Below are 15874 nucleotides of genomic sequence, written 5' to 3'. Positions count from 1 at the left end.
GCATGGGTACCAGGGGATCCAATCCTCAGAGTGCTGGCCCGGGTTCTAAAGAGGCCTCAGGATACACAGTTCCAAGTTACAGAGGCCCTGACATCTCCAGAACAGAAAGATGGGAAGACCCACTATAAATGCCAAGAGTCAACCTTTAATGTACTACTTCCTCTTTCTAAAACCTGGTCCTTTTAGTGCCACAAGCCCTATGCTGCCACATAAGATATGCCCGCCTCGCAGACTGGCTGAGTTCCAGTGTTTTCTCCCCTCTCTGTTACAGTCAAGGGAGTTGGCACCTGATTTCTCTGGGGGTCTTTGTACAGTCTACTAAATAAGGGTCTCCCAACCTCATACTCCCGGGACTATGGAAGTTGTTTTTAGTCAAAATTTGGGTCCCTGCACACTCCTGCCCTCTACTGGACAGACCGATCTGGGCAATAACCTGTGCCTCAGTGTGGACATCTTTAACTCTGCCCTGCGGGCACCAGGGCAAGCCTCTCTCACAGCCTGGCATGGATGGAGTGGGCAGGTAGAGCCAGCTTTTCCAAAGCCCTGGTAACCTCAAGAGAGCTAAGTTTGGGAGGTCACAGGATGACTCTGGGAGACTCTCAGGCTTTAATCAGATCTGTTTAATGCCCATCTCCAACCCACAACTCATTGTGGAACTTGAGCAAGTAAATTAATATCTCCAAGTCTCCGTTTCTTTACACTTGCCTCCCATGGAATCTCCTATGTAACAGGCTCAGCCCGGTGACTGGGACATTGAGCGGGGGCTCAAATGATGGCATCCATCCACCTCTCCTTATCCCAGGAGCTGTCTGTGATCTTTTCCTCTTGCTCCCACAGGCCTCAACACCTCCCAAGCACAGAGTGTCCCTGTCATCAACAGTGTGGCCGGCAGCCTGGCAGCCCTGCAGCCCGTCCAGTTCTCCCAGCAGCTGCACAGCCCTCACCAGCAGCCCCTCATGCAGCAGAGCCCAGGCAGCCACATGGCCCAGCAGCCCTTCATGGCAGCTGTGACTCAGCTGCAGAACTCACACAGTAAGGACACGGGCATGTGGAGGGAGGGAGCACTCAGGACCCTCAGTGGCCAACCACTTTCCCTCTCTGGGTCTGAACTTTCTCGGAAGTTTATTGGCTTGGTCACTTTTCCCTGCCTATGATCAACCGACTAAGACAATTTCTCAAGCATAACTCTTGAGTGTTGCTGTACCTTTTCTAGTCCTCTTCTCTACCCCTGAGATTCCCAGGGAAGGGTTTGAAGAGGACAGTGTAGGCCTACAGATGAAGGGGAATTGGAGCCAGACAGCATGTGGAACACACACCGCCAATTTCCCATTCCAACACCTCTGGAAAAGATCGCGTCCATAAACCACCAGCACCTTTTCCCAGTGAACTTCAACTTAGCCTTTGCAATCTAAACTTCCAAGCAGCCATTATCAAATGATCACAATTGGCATCTAATTTGCATCCTGTTTGCCTTCCCTAAAAGAGAAGAATCTTCTAGAGTCCCGTGTCCTCCAATTTATACACCCCAAACATCTCTAATCAAGAACCATGAACACAAGTGAAAAATACCAGTGGCATGCCATCCTGGGCATTAGAGTTTCTTCCTCCATGCCACCCCTGCATCTCTGCACACAGACTGTTTCTCATATCCAATTTCTATACCTACCCCAAGCCTACCTTTCGACCACTTATTTCCCATCCAATCCCATCCTCTGTTTCTCTGCCTTTCATCCTGAGTCCCAGGCTTCCAATCCTCTGGCCAGGTCTGGCTATAGCCCCTGACACAGGAGTTTGGGGAGGAATCGTGGCTTCTCTGCTTCAGAAACCCCAAGGAAGTGTTCAGTATAAAGCACTAGTCTTAGATCAGACAGACCTGGATTTAAATCCTGGCTGTGATACTTACCAGCTGTGTAGCCTAATGCAAGTTACTTAGCCACTCTAAGTCCAATCTCTACATCCATAAAATGGAAATAGTATGCATTTAGAGTCATTATGAATATGAAATAAACATAGGGGTAAACTGCGTTTGGTAAGCATAAAAAATTATAAAGATTATTTATAAAGGGACTCTTAGAAGGCAATGATGGTGAAAGAGGTTTGTGTTTCTTCCCTAGCTGCATCGGATAAGCTGTGGGTTTGGGGGAGAACAGCCAAGTCCAGCCTTCTATCTTCAGGGCTCAATCCCCACTCGGGCCTGTGGAGCTGGTTTCTGAGCACCATCTCACATTCCAATCACATTTTAGTGGCTTCTGAAAATCTGCCACAGCCTGTAGCAGAGTCTGAGACCACATGTGCCCCACTTCCCTTCCTCCCAGAGCCTGGTGATGTGCTCCCCACTTACCCCATCCCTTCACCTGGCCAGGCTTCCTCAGTGGCGAGGCCTGGGTGGGATAGTCAGAGAGTGGTCACCAGCGACCTGTGGACTGCTGAGGCCCAGCAGGCCTGGCCGCCCATGAAGAGAGAGCCCATGGTGCCCTGGACCAGGAAATAACCTGCCTCCCTGCATGAGAAGGGCAAGCCGAGGCAACAGCCAGTGACCTTTGCTCCCGTTCCGTACCGGAGGCCTCCCTGGTAGGCCCTGTGTTCTGAGAGCAGGTGGTCTCTCCCTCACAGCCAAGCATCCACATGCTTTCGGGAGTTGGTTATGTGACTTGGAATTTACATGAATCTTATGGATAACTAATATGAGAAATCCCCACTATAACCACCAGCCCTTTTATCTACCTGAGGAGATGGGAGCTATGGTGTGGGATGGGGGCTCTGTACCTGTGTCTTTGCCTGTGTATGCACCTTGATTCTGTCTTCACTCTGTCTCTCCAGTGTACGCACACAAGCAGGAACCCCCCCAGTATTCCCACACCTCCCGGTTTCCATCTGCAATGGTGGTCACAGATACCAGCAGCATCAGTACACTCACCAACATGTCTTCAAGTAAACAGGTAATGCCAGCAGGATTTGCGGGGGTTGGGGTGTGGGCAGGGTGTGATAAGGCCATGGATGTGCAGAGGTTGTGGCAAGCATGGACTCGGCCAGAAATTAGGTCCTTCTGAGGCTCCCTGTTGTTTGCAAAGGGAATCCTTAAGGTCCCAGGGCAAAAAAAAAAGGGCCACAGGCTGAAAGGGCTTATTGCTCCCCCAGATTCCCCAGGAAGAGCACTAAACAAGGACAGAAGTTTGATAGGTTGCTGGAGACTGGATGACATAGAGCGCTTAGGCATTTAGATTGAGTGTTCCCTAATAGAATGATCAATGGTCCATGGAAAAGGTATTTCCAAGGAGGGCTCAGGAGGACAGATCCCCTGCTGAGGTTCATGCTTTGCAAGAGGGATCCCTGAGGATCCACAAAGTAGTCAGCGGAGAAAGTGAGTAGGAAGTCAGAGGTCCTGAGGCTGATTCCCCTGGACCCAGAATGCCATAAGCTCTGGGAATGACCCAGTTGTGTCAACCCATGGGGACTCCCCAGTAGACAGCCTGGCTTTTCCAGGGGTAAGCATCCACTTGGGGTTTTATCAAGAAATTTAGAATCAACTTCCTGCTGCACTGAAAGTGGGGAATCCAGAGGCTTAGTCACTGTTTCAGTTGATGACTAAGTCCCACCTCTGAATAGAGGTGATGGAATAGTAGACAGGCAGCTGATGGCGAGGCTCATTGCTGCAGCTTGGACAGCTGGACTGCAAGAAGACACCGAGAGTTAGAAAACAGGACAAGATGTCTGAACACAGGTGATGATTCCAGAGTAACACAATGAGACCTTTTAGTAGCTGGGGTCTGTGCAGTGTGGGAACTGTTTGGCCTCTATCGATTACTAGATAAGTAGGTGACAACCTTGAACTTCATGTCAGAAGCTCTCAGAATTTGGTCTTGTTGATGGTCTTTTTTTCATCTGAGCCCTGCAAATCACACTTCATCCACTGCCATGGGCTTCCCAGGAGGTTCCTTCATGGGATCAGGGTTCTCTATCCTTTCCTTTGCCCCGATCTCCTTCCAGCCCTAGAGTGCAGTGGAGCAGGTGGGTTCTATTCCTGGTTCTGCCATTTGCTTGGTGACCTTGACCTCCCTGAGCCTTCATTTCTTCATCTTTAAAGTGAGAGTTGTAACATCTGCTTTTTCTGAGGATTCAGCAAGCTTGCGTAGATTAAGTAACTGGTGTCTTGGGCACTGAAACACACACACGACCAGGGCAGCTGGGCTCTGGAGCTGGGGGTAGAGGGAGAGGTGTGTGGGACCTGCTTTGCCACTCTTCTCTCACCCAATAGAAGATGAAAGGACAACCCCTCACTACCCTGCCCTTCGACTCCCGTGCGAGTTCCCACTCTTTGTAGTGGGCAGGGAAAACATTTATCTGTGCTCACAAATCTCAATCAGGGGGGCAGCCAGGCGCAGCGGCCCTCCTTGGGAATACCTTCCCCTTTGAAAGGTTTATCAATCCATCTGCCGCTTGGTCAGCCCCAGACAGGACCATGATTAATTATTCCTGTCTTTCCCAAGTTGACTTTGATGGTTGCTTGTTGAAACAAGTCGTCTGAATTCAGGAAATGGTCTCTTAATCAAAATACTTTAAGATGCTCCCTGAGACGCTGCACCAGCCCCCCACTGGCTTCTCCTCTCCATTGGACAGAGTGGCCAGCCAACCTTGAAGCTGCATGAGTGGCCTCCCAGAACTGCTGTGACATTGTCTCCATGTCCCCAGACATTTCAGGAGTCTGGCAATAGACTCATTTCTGCGATGATGAGGATGATTATTACACTCAGTAAGGATGAAAAATACTCACGTGGCACGTTACAGTTTATACTTCTCATGAACATTGTCTCATTGTTTTCTTTTTACTGCAACCTCCTAAGTACAAAGAAATAAACTAAAACCCAGAGATGAAGAGTGACCTGCCCAAGGTCACACAGATGATAAATTCTAGTGCTGGACCTTCAGGCTTTGGTCTTTGACTCCACATACTTGCCTTCCACTACCATCTTTAAAATTCTACGGTAACTGCTGCCACTCTTGTTGTCTTTGTGGTCAGGAACAAGAGTAAAAAATAAGTTCACTTGCCATATTCCACTCAGGAAACGTTCTTCCAACAAGTTGAAAGAGAAGGAGGAATGGGAAAGGCACAGTGAAGTAAAATGAGGGTAAAGGTGCTGCCTCCTGACAGCAGAAGGTACCCAAGGTGAAGACAGTTTGTACAAACTCTGTTCCTAAGGCAGAGGGTCAGAAGTGAGTTCTGAAAGAGACCTGATGGCAATTCTGCTTTTTTGGTTTTGTTTTAAGGTCTTATATTCCAACAGGAATTTCAAATTCATTTCTGGCGTGTTCAGATTTATTGCTTATAGCGATGTCTGTTTGCTTCGCTATAAAGAAATATCTGAGGCTGGGTAAAAGAGGTTCAAAGGCTCATGGTTCTGCAGGCTGCACAGGAAGCATGATGCCAGCATCTGCCTCTGCTGAAGACCTCAGAAGGTTTACAAGCATGGCGGAAGGTGCAGACAGGGCAGGTGCATCACGTGGTGAGAGTGTGAGCAGGAGGGAGAAGGGAGAGGCCCTGCCCTGGGCTCTTATTTATTTATTTATATTTTTATGTTTTGAGACAGGGTCCCGTTCTGTCACCCAGGCTGGAGTGCAGTGGCGCAATCACAGCTCACTGCAGCTTTAACCTCCTGGGCTCAATCAGTCCTCCCGCCTCAGCCTCCAGAGTAGCTGAGACTACAGGCGCACACCACAATGACAGGCTAAATTTTTGCATTTTTTTTGTTTTGCCATGTTGCCCAGGCTGGTCTCAAACTCCTGCGCTCAAGTGAACTGCCTGCCTTGGCCTCCCAAAGTGCTGGGATTACAGGTGTGAGCCACCATGCCTAGCCCTAGACTCTTTTAAACAGCCAGATCTCACGTGAACTAACTCAAGCATGAATTCCTCACCCATCACCATGATCCATTACCTCCCACTGAGCCCCACCTCCAACACTGGGAATCACATTTCAACATGAGATTTGGAGGGGACACACATCCAGACCATATCATTCCACCCCTGGCCTCCCAAATCTCATGTCCTTCTCACATTGAGAAATACAGTCATCCCTTCCCACTAGTCCCTGAAAGTCTTAACTCATTACAGCATTAACTCAAAGTCCAGAGTCTCATCTGAGACTCAAGAGCAAGTCCTTCCACCTATGAGCTTGTAAAATAAAAAAACTATATACTTACTTCCAAAATACAATGGTGGTACAGGCATTGGGCAGACGTTCCCATCCCAAAAGAAATAAATTGGCCAAAAGAAAGGGGTAACACCCCATGCAAGTCTGAAACCCAACAGGGCAGGCATTAAATCTTAAAGCTCCAAAATAATCCTTGATTCCATGTCCCACATCCTGGGCACATTGGTGTGCCAGGTGGGCTCCCAAGGCCTTGGGCAGCTCTGTTCCTGTGGCTTTTCCATGCTGAGGTTGCAAGCTGCTAGTGGCTTTACCATTCTGAGGTCTAGAGGGTGGCAGGCCCATTCCCACAGCTCCATTAGGCAGTATCCTGGTAGGGACTCTGTGTGTGGGGCGGGTGGGGCTCCAATCCCACATTTCCCCTCAGCACTGCCCTAGTGGAGGTTCTCTGTGGGGGCTCTGCCCCTGCAGCAAGCTTCTGCCTGGGCACCCAGGCTTTCTGATAAAGCCTTTGAAATCTAGGTGGAAGCTGCCAAACCTCCTTCACTCTTGCATTCTGTGCATCTGCAGGCTTAACATCACATGAAACCCACCAAAGCTTACAGACTGCACCCTCTAGAGTGGTGGTCTGAGCTGTACCTGGGGCTCTTTGAGCCAGGGCTGAAGCTAGAGCAGCATGTATGCAGGGAGCAGTGTCCCAAGGCTGTGCAGGGCAGCAGGGCCTTTGGTCTGGCCCCCAAAACCATATTTTCTTCCTAGGCCTCTGGGCCTCTAGTGGGAGGGGCTGCCTAGAAGATGTCTGAAATACTTCAGTGCCTTTTTTCCATTGTCTTGGCTATAGCATGCAGCCCTCTTTAGTCAAGCTAATCTCTCTAGCAAGCTGTTGCTCCATAGGCCACTTGAATTCCTTCTCTACCACAGGGTTAGGCTGCAAATTTTCCAAACTTTTACGCTCTGCTTCCCTTTTTAAATGTAAATTCCAACATTCCAAATGTAAGTCATTCCTTTGCTTCCGTAGCTACTGTGGGTTGTTAGAAGCAGCCAGGCCACATCATGAATGTTTTACCGCTTAGAAATGTCTTCTGTTAGATACCCTAGGCTATCATTCTGAAGTTCAAACTTCCACAGATCCCTAGAATATGGACACAATGCAGCCAAGTTCTCTGCCTGGGCGTAAGGAGGGTGACCTTTGCTCTAGTTCCCAATCAGTTCCTCATTTCCATCTGAGATCTCATCAGCCTGGCCTTCACTCTCCATAGTTCTATCAGGATTTTGGTCACAACCACTTAACAGGTCTCTAAGAAATTCTAAACTTTCCTTCATCTTCCTGTCTTCTTCTGTTCCTCCAAACTCCCAATCTCTGCCTGTTACCCATTGCCAAAGCTGCTTCCACATCTTCAAGTATCTTTTTTTTTTGCGGGGGGGGGGGGGGGCGGCGGGGCGGGGGGATGGAGTTTTGCTCTTGTTGCCCAAGCTGGAGTACAATGGTGTGATCTCAGCTCACTGCAGCCTCCACCTCCCAGGTTCAAGCGATTCTGCCTCAGAGTCCTGAGTAGCTAGGATTACAGGCACAGGCCACCACGCCTGGCTAATTTTTTGTATTTTTAGTAGAAACAGGGATTCACCATGTTGGCCAGGCTGGTCTCGAACTCCTGACCTCAGGTGATCCACCTGCCTCAGCCTCCCAAAGTGCTGGGATTACAGGCGTGAGCCACTGCACCTGGCCATCTTCAAGTATCTTTATAGTAATGCCCCACTCCCAGGACCAGTTTTTTGTGTTAGTCCATTTGCATCACTATAAAGGAATACCTGAGGCTGGGTAACTTAAAAAGAAAATATGTTTAATTGGCTCATGGCTCTGCAGGTTGTGGTGCCAGCATCTGCATCTGGTGAGGGCCTTAGGAAGCTTACAGTCAGGGCAGAAGGTAAAGGGGGAATAGGCATGTCATATGGTGAGATAAAGAGCAAGAGAGAGAAAGGGAAGATCCCAGACTCTTAAACAACCAGATCTTGTGTGAATTAACTTGAGCGAGAGCTCACTTATCACCAAGGGGATGGCGCTGAGCCATTCATAAGGGATCTGCCCCTGTGATCCAATATCTCCCACCAGGCCTTACCTCCAACACTGGGTATCGTATTTCAACATGAGATTTGGAAGGGACACACATCTAAACCATATCACTAGGTATCAAGGACATACGAGTGAGGGGAGAGAAGGATTTCTTGGTCAAATATGTTGGGGGAACTGCTGGATTACACAAAGTTAAATGCTACTGGGCAGGGCTTCTCAGAGCATTTCACTTGCTGATGTGTGCACTGAACCGGGCAATTAGCGTGCACCCTGCTCGAGTCAAAGGGACACATCCTGAGCAGTGCTATTTTAGAGGTATTGTACAGTGGTAGGAAACGCCAGCAGACCTGAGCTACTTTCAGCTTCATCACCCCCTGGTATGTGACCTTGGGCAGTTAATTCCCTGTTGGGAGACTCAGTTTCTTCATCTATAAATGGGGAAAATCCCACCCCCATCTCACAAAATATTCAATGTGCCTAACAGAATGCCTAGTACATAGTCAAGTATTCAAAGTGGTAGCCCCCTCCCTGTTTTCTCTCCCGTCTGTGATCCTTTAGGAGATAGTTGTCTCCCCTTCCAGTGACTCTTTTTTTTTTTTTTTTTTTTTTTTGAGATGGAATCTCACTCTGTCACCCAGGCTGGAGTGCAATGGTGTGGTCTCAGCTCACTGCAACCTCCGCCTACTGGGTACAAGCAATTCTCCCGCCTCAGCCTCCCAAGTAACTGGAACTACAGGCACAGGCCACCACACCTGGCTAATTTTTTGTATTTTTAGTAGAGACGGGGTTTCACTATGTTGGCCAGGCTGCTCTCAAATTCCTGACCTCGTGATCTGCCCGCCTCTGCCTCCCAAAGTGCTGGAATTACAGGTGTGAGCCACTGGACCCGGCCTAGTGACTCTTTCAATATCCAATTCAGTGCTTGGTCTACATGCAGTCAAAGGAGGCTGGGAGAAGAAAATGTCTCAGGATTACTACCATCTCTCAAGCACATCCTACCTCTTGGGCCTGGGCTCCGGATCCCTGTTTCCCATTCTCCTGCTGATACACAGACTCCCTGCTCACCTATTTCCCAGGAAAAAAGCAAATAGTTCAGGGCCTGTCAAAGCACCCATACCCTTTGGGCTTAGCCAAATGCCTGGGCTATATTAGATGTTCAGTAAATAACAAAGAATGAATGAACGAACGAACGAATGAATGCAGAACCCGTGTTTTTTGATGCCTCCATTTTCCAAGCAGCACCCCAGATGCTTTTCTAGCTTACATTTCCTGGAGAACCCTCTTACCCATTCTGCAAGGTCGTTATTTTTATACCTGATTTACAAAGCAGAAAACTGAGGTTCAAAGATGGGTATGGATCTGGTCAAGTTCAAACAGATCATAAATTCCAGAGCTGGACTTCCAGACTGGCTTTCTCACTCCAAACTCATTAAACAACGTTCATCTTCCAATATCCACTTTTAAGCACCCATAATAACAACCCAAGGTTATGCAGGTATAAGGCTAAAGCCAGGATTTGTACTTGTATCTGTCTGATCCCAGTACTTCCTGTTGTCAAGGCAGACATGCCCCAAGGGCCTTGGGGATTACAGGTCAGGAACCCCAGGCTGGGACTTCTCGCGCCAAGAATCCTTCTGCATCTACTGCCATCTGTCCCTTCCAGAGCACATACGTCTCCCTCCTTCTCAACTCTTGGGTGCTGGCAAGTTATCTCTGAGTGGGTTTGTGCCTGAGTTCAACAATGCCCCGCTAGTCTGGAAACAAGACCACAGCAACCACTGACCTCAGTTAGAACAAGTGCAGGCAGGTTGTGAGCCAACTCCTGTTTCCACAGTGTTCTCTCCCCGCTGCTTGACTTCCTAGTTTATGGGAAGGTGAAGAGAGGGCCCCCAGAGCAGTAACTAGTCAGGGCACTGACAAGGGGGCAGGTGGGTGGCCTCATCATCTATCCCCTTCGGCTATTCCTCTCCCAGCTTCTTCACTGGGTGAGGAAGCAGAGTGTTCTGATGGTTGGGAGCATCGACCTGGGAGTTAGGCAGATCTGGGCTCAACATTCTACCACTTTCTACCTGTGTGACCTCAGAGAAATGTCTTAGCCTCTTTGAGCCTCTGTTTGCTCACCTGTAAAATGAAGATAATGATACCTCTTTCATGGGATCACTGAAAGGACTAACTGCACGAAGACCTGTAAAATACTTCACTCAGCGCATGTCCCAAAGGAAACACCCAGCCCATGGAAGCTGGGTCACTCTTGGCTTCCCCTGCTAGCACCCCTGAGCGGCTCTGAGTTTGGGAAAAGGGTCTTACGTGGCAAAGGGCATTTATTTCCCCGTGTTGAGGGGGTTGAAAGAAGTGCTCTTACATAGGGGTGAAGAGCACAAGCCTTGCTGTTGTGAGACCCCGGCCAACTTACTTATCACCTCTCCAGGCCACACTTCCCTCATCTGTAAAACCGGAATTATAATCATGACTTTTAATTAATGGAGCCACAATGAATCTCACATAAGTTCATGGTCATAGAAGTGACTTATCTGTCCTCACTGTCTCCACTTCCTCACCCTCAATTCTCTCTTGAGATCACTGCAGACTGGCCTTTATCCTCACGCCTCACTGTGTCCAGCTCACGATCCCCTCCATGCTGCTGAAACCAATGGTTACTTTTCAACCTCTGTCTCTGACACAGCTGATCTCTCCCTCCTTTTTTCCATGGGAGTTTGGGATACTACCATTCCTGGTTCTTCTACGGCACTGGCCACTTCTCATCTCCTCAGCTGGCAACTCATCTTCCCAATATTTATGTGTTGGAGGGCCCCGGGCCTCATTCTTTGGCCTCTTCTCATCTGTGCTCACTCCTGGGTGATCTCCTCCAGTCCCATGGCTTTAGGTCAAGTGTACACGCCGATGGTTCCTGTAATTCTGTGTACAGTCCGGTCTTCCCTACTGAGTGCTCACTCACAGATCCAGTGCTGCTTCGGCAGGGACAGACGCATGTCTAAAATATCTAATAAGCCTCTTGAATTCAACGTGCCTAAAATAGGAACTCTTCATTTTGCCCTATTTCATCCTATCAAAATTGCTTCCCCCATGGGCTTCTCCATTTCCAAAACTGGTACCAGTTGTTCAAGTGAGAGAGCTGAGAGTATCCCTGATTCTTCTCTCCACATCACATCAGTCTCTCAATAAGTTCTACTAGGGGACCCTCAGAATACATCCTAAATCTGACCTCTTCTCACACTCCCATCAGGACTGCCCTAGTCCCAGCCCAGGCCCCCTTGTCTCTCCCTGATCTCCTTAGGTGGCCCTTGCCTGTCTCCCACTTCCACCCTTGCCCCACTGGGGGCTGTTCGCCAGAGTGATCTCTTACAAAGAGACATCAAGCATGTCAATCCCCTGTCAAAACTCTCCAATAGCTTTCCATCACAACCAAACTAAAACAGAGACATACAGGACCCTATGTGATTATGCCCCTGCCAGTGTCGCCGTTCTCACCTCCTTCCTCCCTCCATCACCCGCTCAGCTTTAGCTGTGCCAGGGCTGAAGAGATCCCACTCCAGGACTCCTGCATTTGTGGTGTCTGCCTGGAGCTCTTTTTTTCTGTGCATTTTTACATGCTTGCCCCTTCACTTCATTCAGCTCAAATGTTACCATTTCAAAGAGGCCTCGCCTGATTCCCATATCTAAGTTAATCTCTTTTTCCTCAAGCTGCCCTAACCTCTATGCTTATTTTTCTATGGAGTGCTCATCTCCACCTAAAGTTGTAGTGTGTGTGTGTGTGTGTGTGTGTGTGTGTGTGTGTGCACGCATTTGTTTACTTGTTTATTATTCAAAGCCTTCACTAGGAGGTAAAGCCTGTGAAGAAGTGGGCAGGGTGTTGTTTACAGCTGCATCTCCAGTGTCTAAAAAAGTGCCAAGTACACAGTAGGCACTCAAACGTGTTAAATGAATTCACGATAATCACCTACTTCAAAGGGTCGACGTAAGAACTCGAGGCAGTGATGCTTGTGAAGCCCTTGGTATGGTGCCTGGCACACAGTAGGATGTCGATAAATGTTAGCTCTTACCATTATGTAACAAATCCTCTTAGAATAAGGATGTCCTTCACATTTGCCACAGCTACCACACCTTTCAGACGGAGGGCCCCGCGGTCTCTCAGAGATCTTCTGGGCCAGGCCCCCGTGGGGCTGCGTGTGCTGGGCCTCCAGTTCTAAGGGACCACAGTGCACCCCTTATCAGATGTTTGTGTTTAGACTCTGAAGGAGGCAAATAACTCTAGTTCTTTTGACAACATTTTGGGCTCTGCCACCATTTTATTATGTGAGCAAACATTTGATAGCTGGGAAGCCCATCCCTAATGACAGGCCATAGAATCTCACTGGCGTCTCCTTATCTGCCCTTCTTGTTTGCTCTTCTTTTGAAACCTGCAAGGTCACAAGCCGTTTTCTCTCTCCTCCACCTGAAATCTGAAAATTGGAAAAAGGCTGATAGTGGGAAGTAAAGAGACTTGAGAGTGGGGGTGGGCCAGGGGAGGAAGAGGAGGCAAAGGGTATCAGAGGACCCTGACCAACGTCTCAAGAATGTGGAAGGGTCAGAAGCCTGTCTCCTCACATGCACGCACTGCTCAGCCCCCCTCTTTTTTTTTTTTTTTTTTTTTTTTGTGAGACCAAGTCTTGCTCTGTCGCCCAGGCTGGAGTGCAGTAGCATAATATCGGCTCACCACAACCTCCGCCTCCTGGGTTCAAACGATTCTCTTGCCTCAGCCTCTCAAGTAGCTGGGACTACAGGTGTGCACCACCATGCCCAGCTAATTTTTGTATTTTTAGTAGGGATGTGGTTTCACTATGTTGGCCAGGCTGATCTCGATCTCCTGACCTTGTGATCCACCTGCCTTGGCCTCTCAAAGTGCTGGGATTACAGGCGTGAGGCACTGCGCCAGGCCTTCAGCCCCACTCTTAAGAGTACTGAGGAGCAGCAGGGGCTTGGGCCGAAGAACCCCATGTTAATAATAACAATTGTGCCAAGGACCATGCTCAGGACTCCACAGGTGTTGACTCATCTAATCACACAACAACTCCCATATTATAGGGGAAGAAACTGAGGCACAGAGAGAGTAACTTGTCCAAGAGCACAAAGCTTAGTAGAAGGCTCCTCACCTCCAAGCATGATTGAAAGAGCACATGCTGAGTGGCCACCTAGACAGCTAGTTTGAAGCTGTGGCTCCACACTCTCCTAGTTCTTAAACCATGGACAATTCACTGACTCTCTTTTAGCCTTGTTTTCCTAATTTGTCAAATAGACATAATGGTATCCTCATATAGGGTTATGGTTGGAGCACTGATCAATGCGATAACAGTGGCCTTTAGTGGTATTGGTAGGTGTAAGTGTGTGTGTGTGTGTGTGTGTGTGTGTGTGTGTGTGTGTGTTTGGGGGGATCTTGAGAGAATAAGCCACTAAGTCAAAGGCAGAACCTTAGATGCCGGCAAAAGCAAAAGGGAAGGAGGAGACACAGGGAGACAAAAAGAGACTCCCCAGAAGTGAAAAGGAAAGCAGTGACACTCCATGACAGTTCAAATGAATAAGGCCCAGGCACTGGAGGGCAAGGCTGCCCTGAGTTGGGTGAGGTGGCTTCTCTCGAGGGCTTCTCCAGCCATTCTGGGGTCTCCTGCCCTGGCCCACCCACAAGGATGGCATCAGAGGCCTTCAGCCTTTGGATCCTTTCCCTGGTCCTCTGAGTTTCTTATGCTAAAGTAAGAAACCCGTAGAAAGCACTTTGCAATTTGCAAAGCTCCTTCCTGATGAGTAGTTTGAGTGGTCATTTTCTCGTGTGCTTTCTGGCCTTGCTGCCCTAGGTGAGCAGCACTGGCACACCCTGGGAACTTGTTAGAAATGCAGACTCTTAGGTGCACCCCAGGCCTACAAGTCAGAATTAAACCAGAATCCACATTTTCACAGGCTCTCTGGTACTTGTGGGTCCGTTAAAGTTCGAGAAGCATTAGTATAGGAGGCCTCTGCTCTTAGCGGTCTTAGGAAGAGACCCTTGCTTCCACGAGAGGCAAGAGCTCACCATCCAGCTGCCTTTTCAAGTACACTAAGCACTCTATAAATGCCACTGTCACAGAAAGAGGAGCCCAGCTTCAGGATTCAGGTCAGCAAGTTAAGACTACTTCAAGGTCCCCAGCAATTCACTTCTTTCTTCTGAAGTGGCCAGGAAAGCCGGCTCCCGGGTTTTCCTGCAGGAAGTGTGCCTCAGCATGAAAACTGCAGAACTGAGCAGACACGAGGCCCCCAGCCCTCCACCTGCTGCTCTTTGCTGGTTGAGTTGGGCATCATCTCCCTTAGAGAAGCCAAACTAATGGCCCATGACCCTGCCAAATGACACAGCTGAGCACCCTCTCTCCTCTCTCTCTGCAGTGTCCTCTACAAGCCTGGTGATGCCCACACACCACTTACTTCGTGCGCAACAACAAGGACCCTGTTTTCCACACCATCACCCTCTGGGCAGCTGTCATGGAAAAGCCCAGTGACCTGACCAGCACCTGCGAGAGGTCCCTGCTTACCTGACGGACGTCCTGCTGGCACCTCAGACAATCCACTCTCAGGAGGCGCAGCCCGAAGCCCAGTTTCCCTTCTATGCAGTATTGCCACAATGCCTCTCCCACGATGTCAAGGACTCCTGTCTGTCCTGGAGGTGGGAGACAAGGAACCTCCGAAGAGGAAGCAAGAAAGCCGTACTGTCTATGTTGTGATCCTTCATCGAACAAACTGATGCGAAAACTTGAATCTGTTACTGAAATGAGGAGAGAAGGACATGTGCTATTGAACTGAGCCAAACACACTGTAAATATCCACAGACTCCCTCCCCTGCCCCCATCCCAAATGATCTTGAGATTTCTTTTAAAGAAGTAAATTTGTCCAATGGCTGTAAACTATAAACTACTGTAATTAAGTGCAATTTCCCCTCTGTGTCCTCTCCCCTCTGCCCTGTATATAATACTAAAGTGTCTATTAGTTTTCTTTGTAAAGGTCAGAGTCAAAATTTCAAAAGTGATCTGTCCCCTCTCCCCTCATGGAGAAACATCCTAAGTGGGAAGTGAAGCCCCTTGTCCTCTCCCGCGGGCCTGGACACTTATGGGGACAGCATACCTTGGACTGACTACCAGCTAACTCCAGTCTCCTGACATTAAGACACACCTCTGGATCCCTGGAGGGGCTGAATGTAGTGTGTCAGAGTAACATGCCAGCTTCCTGTGGGCCAGGAGCTCAGCCGTGCACTCCCTAAGAAACCCCAGGGCAGGGAAACTGGCTGTTTGATAGCAGAAGAAAAAGTTGCAGTCTCAGAAAGCCTTCCATTAAAACAATTTATTTTATCACTACCCAGAGTCTCATATTTCTGTCTCTGATACTTTCCCTGCCATGGTTCCACCGAGAACCCCTGGCCCCTGGTCTCCTTGGAATTTTCTGTATACTCCACTGGGATCCTGTAGTGTGTCATCTAGGGGTGTAGAGAGGTGGGTGGCCTTCTCTTGCCGTCATGCTCCCAGTGTCTGTGTAGGCTTTACTGCTGATTGAGGTGAAGAAGAGTTGAATCCCCCAGTAAGACTCCACAAGTCGCTCAGAGGGAATCTGGCCAGAGCAGGAGCTAGCACCCTTTTCTTCCCTGCAA

The 15874-nt window shown here is 49.0% G+C and overlaps 1 protein-coding gene across 7 annotated transcripts in view, besides 3 other annotated features; it reads left to right on the top strand.

Moving 5' to 3' along the window:
- HNF1B (HNF1 homeobox B) overlaps positions 1 to 15584 on the top strand; it is a 58629-nt gene extending 43045 nt beyond the window's left edge. For 2 of the 7 annotated variants that reach the window (NM_001165923.4, NM_000458.4), the window contains exons 7-9: positions 838 to 1032; positions 2821 to 2939; positions 14623 to 15584. In NM_001165923.4, the coding sequence (NP_001159395.1) occupies positions 838 to 1032; positions 2821 to 2939; positions 14623 to 14643 (335 nt within the window). In that variant the 3' untranslated portion in view covers positions 14644 to 15584. The remainder of the gene's footprint in view (positions 1 to 837; positions 1033 to 2820; positions 2940 to 14622) is intronic. The other 5 variants (XM_047436630.1, XM_011525161.1, XM_011525164.1 and 2 more) reach the window with 3 other exon arrangements.
- Positions 469 to 969: an enhancer, noted in NCBI's record as "H3K4me1 hESC enhancer chr17:36061051-36061551 (GRCh37/hg19 assembly coordinates)". NCBI's record gives its function as "activates a minimal SCP1, AML or CMV promoter by ChIP-STARR-seq in naive H9 embryonic stem cells {active_cell/tissue: H9 hESC(naive)}" and the evidence as "EXISTENCE:reporter gene assay evidence [ECO:0000049][PMID:30033119]".
- Positions 970 to 1470: an enhancer, noted in NCBI's record as "H3K4me1 hESC enhancer chr17:36060550-36061050 (GRCh37/hg19 assembly coordinates)". NCBI's record gives its function as "activates a minimal SCP1, AML or CMV promoter by ChIP-STARR-seq in naive H9 embryonic stem cells {active_cell/tissue: H9 hESC(naive)}" and the evidence as "EXISTENCE:reporter gene assay evidence [ECO:0000049][PMID:30033119]".
- Positions 3033 to 4232: an enhancer, noted in NCBI's record as "P300/CBP strongly-dependent group 1 enhancer chr17:36057789-36058988 (GRCh37/hg19 assembly coordinates)". NCBI's record gives its function as "activates an origin of replication core promoter dependent on BRD2, BRD4, P300/CBP, MED14 and CDK7 cofactors, with strong dependence on P300/CBP, by STARR-seq in HCT116 cells {active_cell/tissue: HCT116}" and the evidence as "EXISTENCE:reporter gene assay evidence [ECO:0000049][PMID:35650434]".

This window comes from Homo sapiens, chromosome 17, assembly GCF_000001405.40.
Source record: "Homo sapiens chromosome 17, GRCh38.p14 Primary Assembly".
NCBI lineage: Eukaryota > Metazoa > Chordata > Mammalia > Primates > Hominidae > Homo > Homo sapiens.
Note: the sequence above shows the minus strand (reverse complement) of the source record. Positions and strands in the feature narration are given on the sequence as shown.